This window comes from Homo sapiens, chromosome 1, assembly GCF_000001405.40.
Source record: "Homo sapiens chromosome 1, GRCh38.p14 Primary Assembly".
In the NCBI taxonomy this organism is placed as follows: domain Eukaryota; kingdom Metazoa; phylum Chordata; class Mammalia; order Primates; family Hominidae; genus Homo; species Homo sapiens.
The window spans coordinates 234,582,962-234,603,199 of record NC_000001.11 but is presented as its reverse complement, the minus strand read 5'-3'; the positions used below and the strand labels follow the sequence as shown (position 1 = coordinate 234,603,199).

Here is a 20,238-nt window from a genome sequence, read left to right as displayed (position 1 = left end):
TGGCAGATGTCTTTGTTTATTCCCCAAAGGGGAGTTGGGGGAGAGTTAAAAGGAAACTATGGAAATCCTTTTTTAATTCCTAGACTTTTAAGTCCCTCTTTACTCAAAAGTTGTTTTGCATATGATTTATAGATGGTTTTATTTGGTTAGTGAAGAGTAAAATGTTTCTCTTCCTGATTCCTAAGTGTATACGTGGAATCATTCAGAAAAATGTTCAGTTGTGTGTAGGCCATGAGAAGTCCTGAGTCACCCTCATTTGCTTGCCTTTTGTTCATAGGGAACAGTATGAGAAGACACGCCTTTCCTCTGTCACAGACCAAGGTCAGATGCACCAATGAATGGAATACATATTTACCCAATTTATCGTGGGGTTCTAGAAATCGGGAGTGGGGGTGGGGACTGTTTTAACTCCTTCAGTGCCACTGGTTAGGCCTCTGACAGCAATGGTACTACAATCAAATAAAAATTACGGGTGTGACTTTCCAGATTACAAACTCTATAGATCCCTTGTTGCTGTTTCTCTTGACAGCCTGCATTTTCCTTAATATGTCTGAACCCCTCACTGTAACTTAAAAAGCACACAAATAGACAATTTATAAATTACTCGCTAAGCGGTTAGAAGATAGAAAATGGGTAGATTTATGGATTATCTGTGGATTCCTCCATTAATCCTCAGATAAATCCATAATTTGTCAGGGATACCCACACTACCCCTAGTTATTACATTAATTTATACCTAATTTAACAGTGAACATTGTTTTAACTCATTAGGTGTGTCATCTGCTCCCTCCCCATGTCAATACAACTTAACTTAAAATGCTTGATTTGAAACAGCTCTCTGATTGTTTGATTTGAAGTGTAACTTGTCTCTTTAAAAGATTATAGAATATGAAGTCTGTATTTGCACTGGTTTTAATCAGAAAATTATGCACATCTGCCTGGCACAACATAAAACAATCCATACAACCCACAGAAAAGGTATTTTAGGACAAAAAGTAACTATACCATAGACAGATCATTATTGAGAATCATTTAGACATTGTATCTTAAAAGCTGTTCTTTTATTTTTAATCCAAAACCCAACTGAGTAAAATTTCCTTATTAAACAACCCTATTAGAATGGTATAAACAGTTTCTTCTGTAAGACAAACATTTATTTGGAAAATATATAGAATGGCACTGTATAACACTAACTCAAAACATGGAATAATAAATCTTCAGTGCAAGTAAAACATCACAAAATCAGCCATGAAAAGCCTCTAGGAGATGATTTCTGCCTAGGTCAGATAAGTCTAGAGACTAGACTACAGGATTCCTAGTTTAAATTGAGAGCTTCAAGGCACCGGTTCTCATCCTTTGAATGGGCTGTCAGAAGTTAGATTGCGTAATCTAAAGAGCCTCCTCCAGCAGCTCTACAGACGCCCTTGATGCTGAGATAAGACATCCTGTATAGGGTAATAATGTCACATTTGAATATTTCTAAATATAGTTTACATTTTGGGGGAAATGAACTACATTACATAATCTGTAGATCACATCACTTACCACTTTTACTTAGCAATTAGTATTTCTATATCATCACCATCAGGTAGCATTCAGATGCCCATCGTGCACAAAAAATGAGTTCGGTTTTGTTGTGGAGGCACTCAGCAACTTTAGCAGATAAATATTTAAGTCATTGCAAATTTATCTGCAATATCTATAGAAAACATCTTTCCTATACTAGTTCAAATAGAGTACTTTGAATTGCGTATGTGGCTATTTATGCCTCCGGGGTGGGGGGGCGGTGGGAATTAAAAACCCGGAAACATTTCGCCAGAGCTCAGGGCCTCAATTTATTTTAATGCATGGAAAGAGTTTATTAAAAGTGAACCTCAAATTACTGAGGTTTTGCCTTCTTTTATTGTATGATTTTTAAAGTATTTGCCATACTAGTAAGAGTTCTGCAGAGAAGTGACATGTGGGAGTAGAGATTGTCTGGGTCAGACTAAATCAGCATTTCTTTGGCACAGGCTTGTCTTGGGCCGTCTGCCTGAGCCGACTGTATGTGTGAGCTGCAAAACAGAAAAAAGCTGTTGAGAGTCTTAGCCCAGGCTAAGAGCCCATTACCCCCATTTTGTTATTTCTGCCTGCAAACAGCAGTTCAATTAGCTTTTCTGGTGATAAAAGATAAAGATTTATTGTACCCCATATACAATTGAAATCAGAATTTCACAGGAGGGTCACAGTCATTAGAGAAGTTTTGGAATACTATTCTCCTAATAAGCACCATATGGGTTGTTGCTGTTATAATTTAACACCTACTAAGCAGGCATCTCATTCTAGGCTTTGAACAGCTGAGAGGCTAGCTCCTACCTTTTGTGCAGCTTAAAGTCAAAGCCACAGGTAGGAAATGTCACTTTGCTTGGTTCAAGACACGTATTGACAAGAGTTAACCACGAGTTTGTTTCCTTCCAGTTTATCTTACAAACCACAGTAAAATTCTGACATAGGAACACAGTCCGAAGTCCAAAGTGCTTTCGCACAATAAGTTCATTATGCCCAGCGTGCAATTCATGCATCAAGGGGGCCGCCGGACCCCATTATCTTTATACAAATCAAGAGGCCAGTTGGAACAAGGAGGCTGGTCAGAATGGTCAAATTGTAGTTTTTCCCTTTCTTTTTTAAAAAATTTATTTTTTCACTTTGTATCGTTGTTCAGAATGGCACTTTTTAAAAGGAAGAAAGCCTCCAGCCCTGCCAAGCTCTGTTTACTCCACGGGAAGGAAAGGGGAGGAGGCTCCCTCACTCTCCAACAGCCTGGAGCCCACAAGGAGCCCTTGCTGCGGTTTCCAAGGCGGCCCCCTGACTTGCGCCGCGCCTCTATTCTAGAACTTTTCCCGGGCTGGAGCAGCGCAGTCTCCGCGCGCCCGGCTCTGCGCACGTGGAGCCGCGCGACCCCGGGCGGGGCGGGGCGGGGCGGGGCGGAACGGAACGGAACGGGACGGGACGGGACGGGGCGGGGCGCGGGCCCGGAAACGGGAAACGGCCCGGTGCGCCCCGCCCCTCCGCTCCGCCGCCCAGTCCTGGCCCCGAGCGCCAGGCCAAGCCAGCGCGCCAGCTGCCGGGCTATAATTAGAGGGACCGCAGCCCGGGCCCGGCCACCTCCTCGCGCCCCCCGCCCGCGTTCCCGGGGAAGAATGTGCGAGTGCGCGCGAGGGCCCGAGTGCGCCGCCGCCGGCGCGCTCTCTGGAGCAGAGACCGCGTGGTGAACCAAATAAAGTAAAAGGTCTGGCTCCTGCTGGGCGAGGCCGAGCGAGGAACGTGCGCGCCAGAGCAGGGGTGTGGCGAGCCCTCGGTGGCCCAGAAAAGATCAAACGCGCGTCAGCAGCAGCCGTGGCTGCCGCCTGCAAGGGTCCCTGACGCGGGCCGGGCTGTACAGGGTGGATTTTCTAAGTTGGAGATGGCGCATGACAAGAGCTGCCCCAAATCAAATGTCACTCCCTTTTTGGAAATCATGATGCTGCTTTTTTTTTTTTTTTTTGGCTGCAGCTATAATAAGCCAAATGTTCCGTGCTGGTGAAGTAAACACGCGTGTTTAAGAAGCATCTGTGTTAGCACTAATGGATGGTGCATGCTAATAAAAATGTATTTATTAAGCAAACCTCAGGACATGCCCCTATGGGAACTGCCCAGAGTACTGTTAACAACTGACTGCCTGAAAATGAGTTTACTTTCTATCAAGAAACTTTTATTTAAATTTGAAGAAAAAAGTTTTTCTTTGATCATAGCATTGTTGTGCACCTGAGGTTCTACCCAATTAGTTAACTGCTAATTTTTATTAATTATTCCCTTTAATACTCTGCAGTATTTTCTCAAAAAATGAACAGCATGACCCCTGTCACTTTAAAAAACTGACATTAAACTATTTCTCCATCACCAGCCTTGGAGTTGGGGGGGCAGGGTGCTGGCTACCAGAAGTAGCAACTAGATTGTGGAATAAGTATTGTGTAATAGTTTTAGTGATTGTTTAAAAGTGAATGAACCGGTGAATGGATAGGAGGCTAGAAAAAAAAAAAAAAGCCTTGCTTCAGGCTTGTGAATTCCTAGACACAACCCTACCCAAAGACTTCCTTCACCAACATATTTTTCTTTCTAGATAATAGGCACAAAAACCATTTAGAAGTTTGAGATGGAAATCATGCAATGCACTCTGCTCTTTATATATGTTACTGAGGAATCTGGAAGCTTTTCCGGGTTGAAATGCAATTCCTAGGAAATTATTCTTGCTCTTTTCCTGTGGCTGTTTTTAACACAGCAGCAATGCAATTTCAGTGGCTCTGCTCCTTCACAAAGACCTTTGAGAGGGAACTATGCTGAGAGATGCAAATTCAAGGTTTTCTGAAAACACCTCAGAATTGTCCAGTTCTGCCCCCAGATAAAACCACTAGAATAAAGGTCAGGAAATCTCCAGATGTTCTTGGGACTTGCGCAGTCATCTCAGGTAATTCAATTAGCTTTTGTGTCTGTTTTGCAATTATTAAAAAAAAATATAGGCCAGGCACAGTGGCTCACGCCTGTAATCCCAGGACTTTGGGAGGCCGAGGCGGGTGGATCACCTGAGGTCAGGAGTTTGAGATCAGCCTGGCCAACATGGTGAAACCCTGTCTCTACTATATATACAAAAATTAGCTGGGCGCCGTGGTGCATGCCTGTAATCCCAGCTACTTGGGAGGCTGAGGCAGGAGAATCACTTGAACCTGGGAAGCGAAGGTTGCAATGAGCCGAGATCGCCACACTGCACTCCATCCTGGGCGACAAAGTGAGACTCTGTCTTAAAAAAAAAAAAAAAAAAAAAAAATATATATATATATATATATATATGATGTACTTGCCTCAGAGGGGGCTAAAATATCAAATTAGGTAATTTCTATGACAGATTTCTGGTTTTTCATTTATCAACCAGACATGAGAAGGTGCTGTCATACAGGGCATCATTAGGTGATTGGGCACAGTGAGTGCCTACCACCCAAAATAGAGACTTTCAGTTATTATATTAAACAGAATAATAGCAAATCGCTTTGAAACACTGGAGAGAAGGGGCTCCCCCTGCTGTCATCACAGAAAATGCATTGTCTCAGGCCAGTGTCTTGTAGCTAGAGTACTCACTGGGTTTCAATCACAGTACCAGAAGATTCTCGAAGTTATCATCACCTTGGAGGATGTATAGTTTCATTGGAACTAAAAATATCACAAAAAAAGAATATGCATATTTTTCTTGAAACACCCTATGCTCAGATTCATTTACTCAAGGCTCAGCCTGCCTATGAACCACCAAAATGGTCTACCTCACTCCATTTATGACTTTAAAAGCAAGGATGGTATATGTGTGGCTGGTAGCAGCTGGAGGTGAGTGGGTTGAAAATATGTTTGAACATATTTCATTTTTGTTAAGGTTTGTTTAAATAAGGAATCAATAAAAATGATGTATAATGGGAAATAAGAGCATCTTCATTGGATTTTGGCCTTGGTAAAAACGTTGTGTTTGTAAAAAAATCATTTAATTTTCTTGTAAATCATATTTCTTTACACAGGAGCCACTGGATTCATGAATAAGTCTTCAGAGGTCATGAAGAGTTGGGTTTGTCAGCCTCAAAATTTGTAGCACTGGAAAGAAATGATTCAAGGTCTCAGTAACAAATACTGGCTGAGCTGAGTCTCAAGGAATGACCAGACCAAGCCAGAGATCCTTCATCTAGGCCATGTTTGCTGAGGGGTTGAGGACATGGATGGAATTAGGTTGAAACTCTTCGTGAACAAGATGAATTGTAAGCAGTTAAGAAGGAAAAGATGCTGGATGTGGTGGTTCACACCTGTAACCTTAGCACTTTGGGAGGCCGAGGTGGGAGGATCACTTGAGACCAGCCTGGGCAACATAGTGAGACACCATGTCTACAAACACTTTAAAATAAATAACAATATTTATTGTTAAATAAACAAATATGAAAGGAAAAGAGATGGCATGTGCAAGAGTTGAGAGATTGGAGAGGAAAAATTACATGAAGGAACCAACATCTGGCCATAGCCATTCATTCATTCACTTATTTGTTCATTGGTTCACTTGCTCTTTCACTCCCCACATATATCTCATGATAAATAACATGGCCTCTGGGGTCAGACGGCTTACTCTTAACTTCCAGCTCCACCTCTTTCTAACCTTAAATATAAAGGTATTAAGAAACAGTATCTTCAGTTTGCTTCCAGAGACCACTTTCTTCATTCTGCAACCTCACTGGCTGTTCTTTCACTGATTCCTCATCGTCTCACTTGTTGGAGTGCCCCTAAGCTTAGTCCTCAGATGGTTTTTTTTTTTCCTCTCTCTCTGTCTACACTTACTCCCTGCAATCTCATCCAGAAATATGGTTTTAAAATAACATTATATGCTTACTCTCAGATTTATTTCTCTAGCCTAGACCTCCGTCCTTGAGTGCCAGCCTGGTATATCCAGCTACCTACTCAGTTGTTCGCTTGAATATCTAATTGACGTCTCACATTTATATGTCTGAAGTTGAACTTCTGATCTCCCTCCCACCCTCGCCCAACACCACCGCACCACAGTCCCCTTTCAGTCTTTCCCATTTTACAAAATGGCAGTTCCATCTTCTAGTTGTTTGAGCCATAGACCTTAGAGTGGTCTTTCACTTGGATTTTTTCTCAGCCATTCTCCATCCAGTCTATCAGCAAATCCTCTTGGTTCTACCTTCAAAATATATTCAGAATCTGACCACATCTCACTACCTACTAGACACCGCCATCATTTCTTGTCTAGGGTGTTGCAGAGTCTTCCAGACTGTTCCTCCCGTTTCTGCCCTTGTCCTCTGCAACTTATTCTCAGTTCATCGGCCAGAATAAACCCTAAAAATATTCATCTGATCTTGTTTCTCCTTTGCTCAAATCCTTTTCTTGCCTTTCTATCTCCTTCAGAGTCAAATCCAAAGTCTTTACAATGGCCATCAAGGCAATGCTATTTCCCAGACATGGCTCCTATCCTTGTTCATGCTAGCCACGCCAGCTTCCTGGCATTCCTTGACCTTGCTAAGCATGCTCCCACCTCATGGCTCTTCTCTGCTTGGAATGCTCTTCCCTCAGATGTATGCATAGCTCATTCCCTCATTTCCTTCAGGTCTCTATGCCAAGGTCCCCTGATGAGTGATCTTCCCTGATCAGTCCCCTGATCTTCCCTGACCACCCTCTATTAGCATCCTCTTGCTCCTATAACAACGTCCCACAAACAGTGAATTAAAAGTACACCAAATGATTATCTTACAGTTCTGGATGCCATGATCTAAAATTAAGATGTCGGCAGGGCTGGTTTCCTCGGGAGGCTTCAGGGGAGATGCCACTTCCTTGCCTTTTCAGCTTCTAGAGGCCACCTGCATTCCTGGGCTTGTGGTCCCTTCCTTGAATCACTCCAGTTCCTGCTTCCATCATCACTGCTCTTCCTGCCTCCTTACGAGGATCCTTGTAATTATATGGGGCCCAGCTAAGCAGTTCTAGGATGATCTCATTTCAAAATGGTTGATTTAATCACATCTGCAAAATCCCTTTTACCATGTGACTTCATATATTCACAGGTTCAGAAGATTAGGACAGAGACATCTTGGGGGGCCACTATTCAGCTATCATAATATATTTGATACACTATATAAAATTATCCATGCTAAGCTACTCCACATTCTATAGTCTCTGTTCCTCTTTTATTTTTCTTCCTAGTACTTTGTCTCATCAGATGTTATATATTATTTACTAATTTGTAAGTTTTTGTCTCCCCAGACCCTAGGCCCTGCATTCGGTAGAGCAGGGATCCCCAACCCCCAGCCTGCAGCCCCATATGGGTCCATGGCCTGTTAGGAACCAGGCCATACAGCAGGAGGTGAGCGGCAGGTGAGCGGCGGGTGAGCGGCAGGTGAGCGAGCATTACCTCCTGAGCTCCATCTCCTGTCAGATCAGCCACGGCATTAGATTCTTATAGAAGCATGAACCCTATTGTGAACTGCACGTTCAAAAGATCTGGGTTGTGCACTGCTTATGAGAGTCTAATGCCTGATGATCCGAGGTGGAACAGTTTCATCCCCAAACCATTAACCCCTTTCCTGTCAGGTCCATGGAGAAACTGTCTTCCATGAAACCAGTCCCTGGTGCCAAAAAGGTTGGGGACTGCTGCCATAAACTCTATGAGGAAGGGCAAAGTGACCCCAAATGATATGGTGTGGCTCTGTGTCCCCACCTAAATCTCATGTTGAATTGTAATTCCCAGTGTGGGAGGTGGGGCCTGGTGGGAGGTGACTGGATCATGGGGGATGGTTTCTGATGGTTTAGTGCCATCCCCCTTGCTGTTCTCGTGATAGAGTTCTCACGAGATCTGGTTGTTTGAAAGTGTGTAGCACCTCCCCCTTGTCTCTCTCTTCCTTTTGTTCCCGCCACGTAAGATATGCCTGCTTCCTCTTTGCCTTCTGCTGTGATTCTAAGTTTCCTGAGGCCTCTCCAGCCATGCTGCCTGTACAGCCTACAGAACTGTGAGCCAATTAAACCTCTTTTCTTTATAAATTATCCCATCTCAGGTGGTTCTTTGTAGCAATGAGAGAACGGACTAGTACACCCACTGTCATGATCATGTGTGCTGTAAATATTTGTTAAAGGAATAAATTTAGTTTCTAATCTCAACAAGGGAAATATGGTGAGAAGTAATGGAAAATAAGAAAAGAGCCATAACAATGTATTTATAAGATACAATGGAAACCCAATCAGTCTACCTCGGGAGAGAATGCTGAGGCTAGCAGCCATGAGGTGGGGCTGGCCAGGCAGGATAGAGAAAGAGCAGAGCTCAGCGGATCTAAAATTAAGGGGGCTTTGGGATGTTGAGCAAACACAGGGACCCCACAAATGCTGTTCAGCCAGGACAGAGGGTCCGCACAGACAGACCTGGATAAAAAAAAACAGAAAGAAGCAGTCAGAGGGCGTATGGTAACCACATCAAAGTCCCAATCAGAAGGGTGATGTGTCTTGAGATGCTTTTACAGGTGCAGAGTTTAGGGGGATTTAAGGTAAAGCAGGAGAAAGTAGGCAAGAAGCAGTTCTCCTTGTGGCAGGGACTGCTTTGCTCAGGCTCAGCCTGCAACAGTGGTGGGACTTGATTCTGATTGCTGGGTCACAGGTGGGTGCTGCTGCCATCTGATCAGTCACTGTGGTCTTCCACCTTCTGGCATGGGAAGAGACAGAGGGCGGTGCGGGTAGGGCAAGACTCACTTAACAGCTTCTTGGGTAGTCTTAGGAGCATGTTAGCAGCAGTTCTTTGTGTTTTGAAAGATTCTGCTAAGTGGACATAGAACAGTGTCATGGCTAAAGGCCTGACTGCTTTCAAATCCCAGCTCCACCATAGCTTAGCTGTGTGTCCTTGGAAATACATTTTGTTCTTTTATTTATCTTTTTTTTTTTTTTTTTTGAGAAAAAGTGTCTCACTCTGTCGCCCAGGCTGGAGTTCAGTGGCACAATCTCGGCTCACTGCAAGCTCCGCCTCCCGGGTTCATGCCATTCTCCTGCCTCAGCCTCCCCAGTAGCTGGGACTACAGGCGCCTGCCACCACGCTCGGCTAATTTTTTGTATTTTTTGTAGAGATGGGGTTTCACCATGTTAGCCAGGATGGTCTCGATCTCCTGACCTCATGATCCGCCCGCCTCAGCCTCCCAAAGTGCTGGGATTACAAGCGTGAGCCACGGCGCCCGGCCTACGTTTTGTTCTTTAAGAGATTGTCAGGAAGAATCAGATAGGAGCAATCAGGGTGTGTGAGACCTGATTATGAAGCAGACATTAATCATATCATGTGACTCCAATCATTATGTCCTAATACTGTCCTCCAAACATAGGTAAGGATTATCCCACCTGACAATGGATAAGTTCTTTGATGTCTCTAAACCTCAGTCTCCTCATCTGTAGAATGGGAATAATAATAGTACCTGTTTCTTAAATTCATTGTGAGGGTTAAATGAAGCAATGTGCAAAGTCTCCTTGAGTCTGTGATATAATATATGTGGGGTCTTATTATTTATCCCAAAGCAGGAAGCATCAGAGTTCTGGGAAGGTGACTTAACCTCACCTGCTCTTCCTCTCACACAGCCTTCCCACTCAGGTCTTCTGTGGATAGAGTTCCTCTGATAGTTTTTTTTTTGTTTTTTTTTTTTTTTTTTTTTTTTTAACCAGATGGAGACTCGTTCTGTCGTCCAGGCTGGAGTGCAGTGGCATGATCTCGGCTCACTGCAGCCTCTGCCCCCTGGGTTTAAGAGATTCTCCAGCCTCAGCCTCCCGAGTAGCTGGGACTATAGGCACATGCCACCACACCTGGCTAAGTTTTGTATTTTTAGTAGAGACGGGGTTTTGCCATGTTGCCCAGGCTGGTCTTGAACTCCTGAACTCAAAGCAATCCACCTGCCTCGGCCTCCCAAAGTGCTGGGATTACAGGTGTGAACCACAGCGCCTGGCCAATCTTCTTTAAATGACTATTTAACACCCTCAAGCTTCAGAGACCCCTCTCCAGACCCCTACTTGGTGGAACCCAACCCCACCACTTCCAGTGGTAATGGATTTCTGGTCCTCTGTCCTGTTTGTGCTCTGCAGACTCTGCTCTAAGTCTTCAGTTGCAAGTCTGCGTGCCTCTGCTCTGTTCAGGCTCCTACAAGCCCCACTGTGGGGAGCTCTGGTCCCTTTTTGGCTATGGGGAAGAGAAGCAAGAAAGGGCGCCATGTTCTAGGAGTCAGAGAGAGGTTGGTTTGGAGGATTCGAAGGCTGCTTTAGTTTTGGTTCCGTCTCTCCCTGGCAGCCAGGGCTAAGGTCAGTTTTATGCTAAATTAACTAAATGTATATATCACTCATCACACCCTAGCTATGGAGGGAACGCTAATGCTTATATTATAGAATTATGAGCATGAAAACGCTCTGCGAACTCTTAAGTAACATAAAAATGCTGACTTTTATTGTCTAACTTGGGATTTTCTACGCGAGCTTTGCTTTAGTGATGAAGTTGGGAACCTGCTTTTCTTACACAACATTTTTACAAATATCAAGATGACTGATGAACTCTTCTCTGACCACCTGAGATATGTATCCAACACAGTTCTTCCGAATCCTAAGCTCGTCCTGAGGATGCCGCCTTTTCTGTGAGCTGGTTCTCATGGCTTTTGTGCAGTTATAAGTCACTGGGTCACGTTTCTGCACTGCCTTGCAGAAATGCTCTGCTCAAGTTTGCCATGAGGTCCACAGTGGGAGCCAGGAGGTCAAAGGCACCAGAAGAGACCACAGCCTTCCTCCTAGCAAGGCTGGGAAGACCTGCTGCCCTTTACTTTAGTCCCCATAGAAAGGCCACCAGAGACAAAGTCTGAATATAGAAACAGAAGGAGGCTGGTTCCTTTGGGCATATCTGACAAGAGATTTGAAATACCTCTGCTACTAATTGGGGGCCTATACAAATGAGTGTCTCATTTCAATGTGTGGTCAAGACTCAATGTAAGATTGCTAAGATGGGAGCTATGGCCTACCTGCTTTGTCTTCCTTGAGCCATAATAAATGCGTTTATAAGACACCATGGGGGCATAGGGAAGATATAGTCACTCTGCCAGAAGTGAGGTAGCAAGGGGGACGGGTTCGTAGAGGAAGAGACACTGAAACTCCTTTGCTTTGGGCTCCCAGGTCCCACCATGAAGGCTCACATCCGCCCCAGTCCCCAGGCTAACCCAAGCATGAAGTGGACTTTTGAGGGACCTCTTCCAGTCCCAAGATCATCTTGTAGCTCTGAGTTCCCTTGTGGCTCCCTGGGTTTCCTTCCCTGCCAAGCCCCAGGGCTACTGTCCTTAGGAAAGGCTTCTAGGTGGCTCCAGGCCCCTAGATCACACCTCTTAGCTACTTCTTCTCTCTCTGGACCCATGTCGGGCAAGTCCATGGGACAGGACTGTGCCTTGGCCTATGCCTAGGCTCTATTTGGTTGCCCGGTCCCCACATCCTTAGGTCTCTTCTAGGACTGGAGATCTACCATAAGCCCCAGTACAGCGAAGAGGACTCTGCTGCTTGCCTTGTTTTCTTCCCAGCATCTCCTAGGGGATGGTGTTCTGTCCAGTTTCCCTGTCACCATACTATGGCTTCCTGTTGAGTCTCTGCTACTTCATCTTGGGCTCCATGATGCCAACCACTTTCTGGACTGTGTCTGAGACTCTTGGAGCTTAGGTTGCTGCACCTCATCCCAGCCCATCATCTCCCAAATCAGATTTTGCCACCAAATCAGTTGAACCAGTGCCTGTCCCTTCCTAGTAAACAAGTTTGGTGCCACTGTATAAGTCAGGGCTCTCCAGAGCCTGACTAATATACAGAACCAATAGGATAGAGAAAGAGAGAGACCGATTTTAAGGAATTGGCTGATGTGATTGTGGAGACTGGAAAGTCTAACATCTGTAGAGCAGGCCAGCATGCTGGAATTTTGTTGTGGAGTTCATGCTGCAGTCTTCAGTCTGAAAATCTGCAGGCTAGAAACTTAAGCAAGACATTTATGCTGTAAACTTGAGGTCCCGTTCCTTCTTCTTCAGGAAACCTCAGTCTTTGTTTTAAAGGTCCTCAGCTGATTGGATGAGGTCCATCTACATTATGGAGGGTAATTTGCTTTACTTGAAGTCTACTGATCTAAATATTACATTTTAAAATACTTTCAAGGCAACATCTCGACTGGTGTTTGGCCAACTGGGCACCATAGCCTAGCCAAGCTGACACATGACATTAACCATCATGGCCACTTTCCAAGTTTCCTTTTCCATCCCCAGACAATGACGCCTCTACCAGTTGCGATGCTTTCAAGGGCAAAAATCACAGAAAATCCTACTCAAATAGGCTTAAACTATAAAGGGAACTTAATGGCTCTGGGAACTAATAAAATCTACAGTCAGGTAGACCCTAGGTCTGACTTGCTTAAGGTTTAAGCATCTTCTCTCTCTGATTCTCGTGTCTGTACCTTCACTATGTTGATACTATCTTCAGGCAGGCTTCCCTCCTGCTTACAGGATGATGCACTTTCTCTTTCACATCCAAGAGGAAAGAGGGCAGAGCATTCCTTTTAGAACAAGTCCCAAGCTTCCCTCTGATTGGCTCAGTCCCGACATCATCATCGTGGGCAAGGAAAAGCTCTGCTCTGATTGGCTCAGGTCTGCCCATGCCCTAACCAATCCCAGGGCAAAGGCATGGGATTGCCCTGACTGGCATCTAGTTAGGAGTCTTTCCCTGCAATTGGGAGTAGGATCAGTCCCACCACAATAAATGGTTGCTGCACAGTGGCTGAGGAATGGCCTGGATATTGGGAGATAAACTTAGTACTCCACATCAGCCTCCAAAGCAGGGCTGCCTGGAAAGAAGGGTGTTCCCTGTGTGGATATCAGGGCAGTATCAGTACAGCATGGCAGAGTGGGGTCGTGGCTGGTGGACATGTGCTCACTTCAGATGTCCTTGTCCCTGATCTGTTTGCCCCTCCCTCTGACACAGGGAGTGCTCACCTCAACAGGATTAAACTCCTAGCAGCTGGCTTTACAACTGCGGGATCTGGGATGTTGCTGGGAGCCACCCAGAGCTGAGGTGCATGATTCACGCTGTTCTGATTAGTGGCTTGGCAGGGACAAAGAATGAAGGAAGAAGGTGGCTTAGAGACAAGTTGGGGCAGCCCAGAAGAGGGGGTTCTTTGAGATTTTTGATCTGTAGTTTGTTTTTGTTTAAAAAACCAACAACTGAGGTGGGAAGACACATCTTAGCAAGTTGTAAAATGCCTCCTCCACCCCGCCCTCTCTCTAGGCCTCTTCCCTCTTTACTGTGCTGCCACTGCAGTCTCTGGCACAGGCACGTCACACAGAAAGCCAAGGGAGGGAGGGTGATGCAGCCTGGCCGAAAAGCACACCGGTTCCTCGTGCACAGTGAGATGGGAGCACACGGCCTGTTGGTGTGGGCGGCCCCGGCGCCACCTCGTACACTAGGTGTTCCCATCAGTCTTTGAACAAGGGCCATCCACTGTCTGAGCAGACACACGCCAGGTACCTGTGTACCACGTTGGAATTGAGAAAGACCACGAGAAAAAAAAAACAGCAGAGCTTTTTGTGGCCTCAGTATCACTCTGGGCGAGTGAGAGAGGCATTTGGGGACCAAACATGGCTGGGATTAAACGAGGGCGTTGCTACCTCAACAGGTACATAATTCTAAATTGTGTGAGGGGAAAAAGTCATCCTGTTGACTCCGAACAAAATGATTTATGGTTTACAAAGCTGTTTTGCCTCTGTCGGGTCATTTAATCCTCATAACCGCCTCTAAGAAACACTTTTACAGAACAGAAAACTGAGGCAAAGCCGAGCGACTTGCTTTAAATTATTTATAGTTATAAAGTGAAGCTGATCTAACTCTAATCCCATTTTCTTCTTTTTGCTATTTGAGAGTTACATTTTTTTTTTTGGCCTTATCAGTACAGGGAATATTAGTTAAGACGTGCCATGGAATGGATTATACAAATCCCCCAAACCCCTTTGCTTACAGACGGGTTTATACTCATTCTTCATGCTTAGCTTGCTAATGTAGGAGTCACATGTTACTGTTGTCTTTATTCTCCTGGTTTAATCAGGAAAACGAGCCAGAAGAGCTGAAATGATTAGCTTGGGATCGTTAGAAGAGGAAAGAATTTATATTCACAGTGACTGTATTTCTAGTCCATTGATTGGGCAATGTTGCTTTTATGAATCAATTGTCATGATTGCTATGCTGAATAAAATGTGGAATCGCTATCACAAAGAAAACATAAATTATTTAGTTTTAAAATACATACTATCTATGCATGGACCTAAATAGTCAATGGAATATTTCTATTTCCTCTTCCTGATTTTTATTTAGGTTTTCTCAAGGGGCACTCACATAGGTCCCTCAGTTCTACTGTGGCAGGTAGCAGTGTGATTCAACAACATGCAATGTCCTGCCATGTGACATTATTAATTAACTCTCATTGACAGCCCCGTTATACATGCAGGTTGATTATTCAAATTCAATACAGTGTGGTTTAGGGGAAACATGAGAGACCACACATACCTTGAATCTGGGGCTCCAATTCCGAAGGCAAGGTGATTTCTAGAAATATGTATGATCACCTTTGGAGAGTCTAGTAACAAATGCACCAGCAAACTCATCTCTATTAATGTGTTAATTTTTTTTCCTTAGGGTATATAAAGGTCATTTCATAAATTGCACATTTCACACTGATTAATCTTCATGGATTATCTCTTGCTATAGCAAATATGATAATGTCCAACAATTGCAATTAATAATCATGGAACTTTATTTCATGAGAGGATGTTTTGAAAGCCAAATAATCACTGTTAAGAGGATAGCAGAAAATTGGATAGAGCAGAATAGAAGTGGAAGAAAGAGGAGCGAATAGAGAAACACATAGAAATGGATGTAGTGCTTAGGATACTCAAACATTGAAAGCTCTGGGTTTAGGAATTAAAAACAAAGGAGGTATTTGGCTTAACCACTATGGGATTTTTCTTTTTCTTTTTTTTTTTTTTGAGACAGTCTCACCCTGTTGCCCAGGCTGGAGTGCAGTGGCACAATCTCGGCTCACTGCAACCTCCACCTCCCAGGTTCAAGCGATTCTCCTGCCTCAGCCTCCTGAGTAGCTGGGATTACAGGCACATGCCATGATGCCCAGCTAATTTTTTGTATCTTTAGTAGAGACGGAGTTTTACCATGTTGACCGGGCTGGTCTCGAACTTCTGACCTCGTGATCTGCTCGCCCTTGGCCTCCCAAAGTGCTCGGATTACAGGCGTGAACCCCACGCCCAGCCACTGCTATGGGATTTTAAGGATTCTAGATATAAAATATTTCATGGATTAAGTCATTTGACAAACATTTATTGTGTGCCTCCTACGTGTGTGGTACTGGAGATTTTAGATTGTTATTATGATCCAACAGTCTTATAGCCTACAGCAAAAGGACTGGAGAGAGAGAGAGAGATTTGATTAACACGAAGGAAAAGGAGAAAGAGAAGGAGAAAGAAAAAGCAGAAATGAAAGTAGCAGCAGCAGCCAATGTCAACAAAATCCCCATTGCAAGCCCTCATTTTTCCCAAGCAAAATATGTATAATGTTTGTGAACTAACACTTTCCCCAATTTTCTTCAGCAAAGGTTAGTCAATCATGAACCCAAGCATAATAATATGTAAGTTCTTCTCTCCAGCAGGTACCGCGAGAAACACAAGTTAAGATTCACATTCTGTTCCCAAAGAACTTATGAGCCTATTTGGCAATTTCAAGCTAATGCACACTCAATTATGAACCCAGTGTAAGATAGTACGCATGCAGGTGTGGAGCGGTAGGATTTGGATTAGGGGTGCATGGTGGTTACAGAGGGGAGTGAAAGGGAAAAGGAAGTTTTCATGGAGAAGACAGACTCAAGTGAGACCTGAGAGGAGGGACATGAGCGGTGGGACAAAGAGACAGAAATTAGCATCCTATATTTTGGGAAGCATGAAGGACTGTCTACGTGATGGGAAGTAAATAGGATAAGATGAAACTTCCAGGGGCCCAGAAACTCATGCACAGGGAGGGGCCAAGAATTCAGTGTGGCCCATGATGACAGTGGCAAGTCAGGCAGCTGACCCTGGAACAAGGCGGGGATAGGATTAAGGCTGCCAACAGGCCAGTAAGATAACCCAATTCTGAGCAACTGGACCAGGATGGCAGCAGAGAAGGAGCAGATGAGACATTTCAAAGAAGGGGCTGATACGACTCAGAATCTGACCTGTTTAAGGGCATGGACAAGAAGGGGGCTTCAACGATGACTCCAAGGTTGCAAATGTGGGTCGTTTATGAGAATGGAAGCACCACCCAATCTTGGAAGAAGTCTAAATGCCTAGATGAGCATATAAGAATGACTTTCTGTTATGCCGGGACATGCCGCAAGGCAGAAGAAGATCTTCCTCTCCTCCCCCTACCTCCAGAGTTGGCCAAGAGTGGTAGTGGGTGATGTTAAAGAACATCAGACAGGAAACGGACCAGGTTGCCGAGGGTCCAGGTCGGGCTGAGCAGAGCTGGGGCCGAGGAGTTCTGGGTCAGGGAGACTGAGAGTCCAGACTGGAGGACGAAGATGAACACAGCAACTAAGCAGAGTAGATTTCATGGTCAGCAGCCCAAACAGAAGTTTCCTTGGTGCTCAGGATGTGTGTGTAGAGAAGTCTTTTGGTTATGTAGTCTGTAGATCCGTTTTTGTATTTGTGCTGTCCAAGCAGTGCTTTTCCATTCATTCCCCCACTGACTCATGCATTCGACACGCGTGATTTATCATTCACATGCACCAGGCACTATGCTGGGTGCCAGGGCAAAAAGAAAGAAGCCAGGCCCTCAAGAAGCTCCCAGCCTACACAGGAGGGCACAGATACGCAGACTTTCAGAACTCAAGACAGAAGCAGTAAGTCCAAGAAAACTATCTGAAATAACCACTTGGGATATTTTCTCAGAAATTAACCAAAGGGATGTTGTGTTGAACTGGGATTGAAGAGGGTCAAGATCTCAGAGCTCTTCCCTTGGGAATTCTCAGCAGGAGGAGCAAAAGCAGAGGGTGGCAGGATTGAGGGTTAGAAACATGTGTCAGTGTATCCGAGAATCCAGGGCTGTTGTCACAGCAGTTTGAGGAGGCTGAGCAGACCGTACAAGAATCTGGTGTGGCCTCTGAGAGGCTAAGATACAGAGCACAGGCTTTTTGAATTGAAGGGTAAAACTGAGCAAATGAGAACTGACTCATTTTTATTTTCACCAATCAGGACCCTTTTAAATCCTATTTCATGGGTATATAGTAATGTCACGAAATGCAGATTTTATTTTCATCAATTGATGCCATAGAGAGAGAGGACTCCAGAGAGTAAGCTCACATCTCCCCGCAGAGGTTCCTGGCTGCGGGCCAGATACCATTCTTTTAAGCACCAAGCATCAATTAAAGGCAAGCTCTCCAGCAATTCTGCTTCCTGCGGACAGATTGGGTCCAAGGAGAAAGCAAGGAAGACCCTGAGAGAAGAACTTTCCCTGGTGGTGGAGACTTGAACTCCATTCAGCAGCTTAGATGTCCCCCCTGTCTCTCCAGCATGACTGCCAGGCTCTTACCAGCTTGGAAAGGAGCCAGGAGATGGGAGCCCCCTCCTCTAGGGCCAGTCCTTAGGTCTATAATAACACTGTGACATTTCATCCCTGACACTTCTGCCTGACTTCACCTCTACCCCCACCCAGAGATATCCCTGAGTCCTAGATGCATGGCTGCAGGCTTAGGGAGAGGTGCAGGAAAAGGAATGAAGCTTAGCAAAGTTGCTAACAGCCCAGGTTTGGGCATTAAAAAAAAAAAATGGATTTGAATTATGTGTCCACAACGTGATTCACTATTTAATCCTGAACAAATTAGTTTCTGAGTCTCTGTTCCCTTTGTAGACTGGGCATAAGCTAGTACCAGTCTCATAAGGACTTTGTACATATTGAATGAGATGAGCTATGTAAAGTGTGTTGTACTGTGTCTGCTGCCTAGGAAATGCTCACTGCACGATCCCTGGTATTACTAAGAATGTAGCTCTCCATGTTCCGTGTGAGTTCGAGGACTAAGCAGCGTTGCCTATACCCTTCTTTCCTTCTCTCCCCTGGCAACTCAACTCAAATACCTGCTGCTGAAATGGTAACTTCATTAATAGGTCGAATGATCTATGAAGAACCTCTACTGTACAGAATAGTTTTCACTTTGCTGCCTTGTCTTCCTGCTAATTTTCTGGTTAATCTGGCAATTTGAACAAGAATATACTCCCTCCTTCCCCCACCCTCCAACGGCGCACACGCGCACGCACACAAACACACACACACACACACACACACACACTGGAAGATGGATGTGTGGGCAGCTGGAGAGGTGGGGTCATGGCAGACCAGAGGTCAGTGCTGCCCTGTAGGAGAGCCCACAGAAGAAAGAGGCCCTTTGCCAAAGGAGATTTTTATTTTACTGTCTCCAAAAGGTAAGAGAACCCTTCCAATAATTTTTTTTTCTTTTTGCTTACAGTCTCACAATTTAAACATAGGACACTGAATGGTCAGAACCTTGGCCCACCCCCGAGTGCCCGGGACCTGTTGCCAGAACCAGGAGTTTGAGCTCCTGCCCAGTAGGCTTGTAACCTGAACTTTCTGTTTCTAAACTCCCAGTTCTTAGTAGCCGGCGCAAATTCTGGGCCACAAAATTCTGAGAATTATTGCACTTGTCAGTTGCTAAGTCACATGCCCTTCAGCCTGGTCCCTGCTAGTGGGATGATAGTACTTCTGTTAAAGCCTATGAATTTCACTGTCACATAAAAATGGGCATCCCTAATAATACCATCCAAGGCTTGCCATAATCACCCAGAAATATACCATCAGGCCTGTCATAATTAATCAATTTTCAGGATCCCCCAGGGTCTCCAAATACAATGACTGGTAGCAAATTAATAGAGACTTTGGATCATCCCATTTAACTTCATCAGGAAACTGACCCCATGATGAAAATTTAGTTTAATTAGGATAATAGCTCATATTTAAAGAGTGCCTCAAAGCGAAAGAAGCCCACAGATTTTTGTCTCTTAATTTTCAAAGCAGTGCCACATATCACTTAGAGCCAACTTCTAGGGAACAGGCACATTTATCCCCATTTTATGGATGAGAAAACCTTGCTGCATGTGAACAAGAACAAGGACTACAGAGCTAGGGGCTGAGAGCATGAGCCCGGCGATCCAGATCACACTGGATTTGCTTAGTGTATGTCTGTGAACTATGAGCAGCACAAAAATATATACGGACTGACATTTTTGAGCATATATTTAATGAATAGGGTATCCTGTGTACATGGCAAAGCCATAAATAGATATCGGTAGTGGAATGTTGGAGTGGACAAATATAGAATATAGCTTGTGCTCAGCAATGCTAGACGCCCCCACAGAGCCCCATGCTGGTCTGTTTGGAAGCTTTTTTTTTTTGAGGTTCAGTTGCATGATAGTACAAAGAGCCTTCTGTTATGGTCTCAACACTACTATTTATACCCTGTGACCCATTAAGCACTGATTCCTTGGTTGGGGTTCGCCCAACATCTCAAGAGAAAAAAAAAAAGAGGGAAAAAATAGCCTGACTGGAAAAAAAAAAAAGTAGTTC

The 20,238-nt window shown here is 44.6% G+C and overlaps 1 non-coding gene across 1 annotated transcript, besides 9 other annotated features; it reads right to left on the bottom strand.

Moving 5' to 3' along the window:
• Positions 244 to 413: a silencer, noted in NCBI's record as "silent region_1975". NCBI's record gives its function as "represses an Ori minimal core promoter by ATAC-STARR-seq in GM12878 lymphoblastoid cells {active_cell/tissue: GM12878}" and the evidence as "EXISTENCE:reporter gene assay evidence [ECO:0000049][PMID:35858748]".
• Positions 2,299 to 2,348: a silencer, noted in NCBI's record as "silent region_1974". NCBI's record gives its function as "represses an Ori minimal core promoter by ATAC-STARR-seq in GM12878 lymphoblastoid cells {active_cell/tissue: GM12878}" and the evidence as "EXISTENCE:reporter gene assay evidence [ECO:0000049][PMID:35858748]".
• Positions 2,749 to 3,278: a silencer, noted in NCBI's record as "silent region_1973". NCBI's record gives its function as "represses an Ori minimal core promoter by ATAC-STARR-seq in GM12878 lymphoblastoid cells {active_cell/tissue: GM12878}" and the evidence as "EXISTENCE:reporter gene assay evidence [ECO:0000049][PMID:35858748]".
• Positions 2,749 to 3,335: a biological region, named in NCBI's record as "H3K27ac hESC enhancer GRCh37_chr1:234735611-234736124".
• Positions 2,822 to 3,335: an enhancer, noted in NCBI's record as "H3K27ac hESC enhancer chr1:234735611-234736124 (GRCh37/hg19 assembly coordinates)". NCBI's record gives its function as "activates a minimal SCP1, AML or CMV promoter by ChIP-STARR-seq in primed H9 embryonic stem cells {active_cell/tissue: H9 hESC(primed)}" and the evidence as "EXISTENCE:reporter gene assay evidence [ECO:0000049][PMID:30033119]".
• Positions 3,336 to 3,849: an enhancer, noted in NCBI's record as "H3K27ac hESC enhancer chr1:234735097-234735610 (GRCh37/hg19 assembly coordinates)". NCBI's record gives its function as "activates a minimal SCP1, AML or CMV promoter by ChIP-STARR-seq in primed H9 embryonic stem cells {active_cell/tissue: H9 hESC(primed)}" and the evidence as "EXISTENCE:reporter gene assay evidence [ECO:0000049][PMID:30033119]".
• LOC124900421 (U8 small nucleolar RNA) lies at positions 9,798 to 9,925 on the bottom strand. Its single transcript, XR_007067353.1, has one exon. It is a non-coding gene; the product is annotated as a U8 small nucleolar RNA (small nucleolar RNA).
• Positions 14,010 to 14,510: an enhancer, noted in NCBI's record as "H3K4me1 hESC enhancer chr1:234724436-234724936 (GRCh37/hg19 assembly coordinates)". NCBI's record gives its function as "activates a minimal SCP1, AML or CMV promoter by ChIP-STARR-seq in naive H9 embryonic stem cells {active_cell/tissue: H9 hESC(naive)}" and the evidence as "EXISTENCE:reporter gene assay evidence [ECO:0000049][PMID:30033119]".
• Positions 19,258 to 19,402: an enhancer, noted in NCBI's record as "145 bp enhancer 72 fragment used in the MPRA reporter construct; PK_construct_3332". NCBI's record gives its function as "activates an SV40 promoter by MPRA in K562 cells {active_cell/tissue: K562}" and the evidence as "EXISTENCE:reporter gene assay evidence [ECO:0000049][PMID:23512712]".
• Positions 19,325 to 19,335: a transcriptional cis regulatory region, noted in NCBI's record as "NFE2L2 motif; enhancer activity is reduced when this motif is scrambled". NCBI's record gives its function as "necessary for full MPRA enhancer 72 activity {active_cell/tissue: K562}" and the evidence as "EXISTENCE:site-directed mutagenesis evidence [ECO:0005528][PMID:23512712]".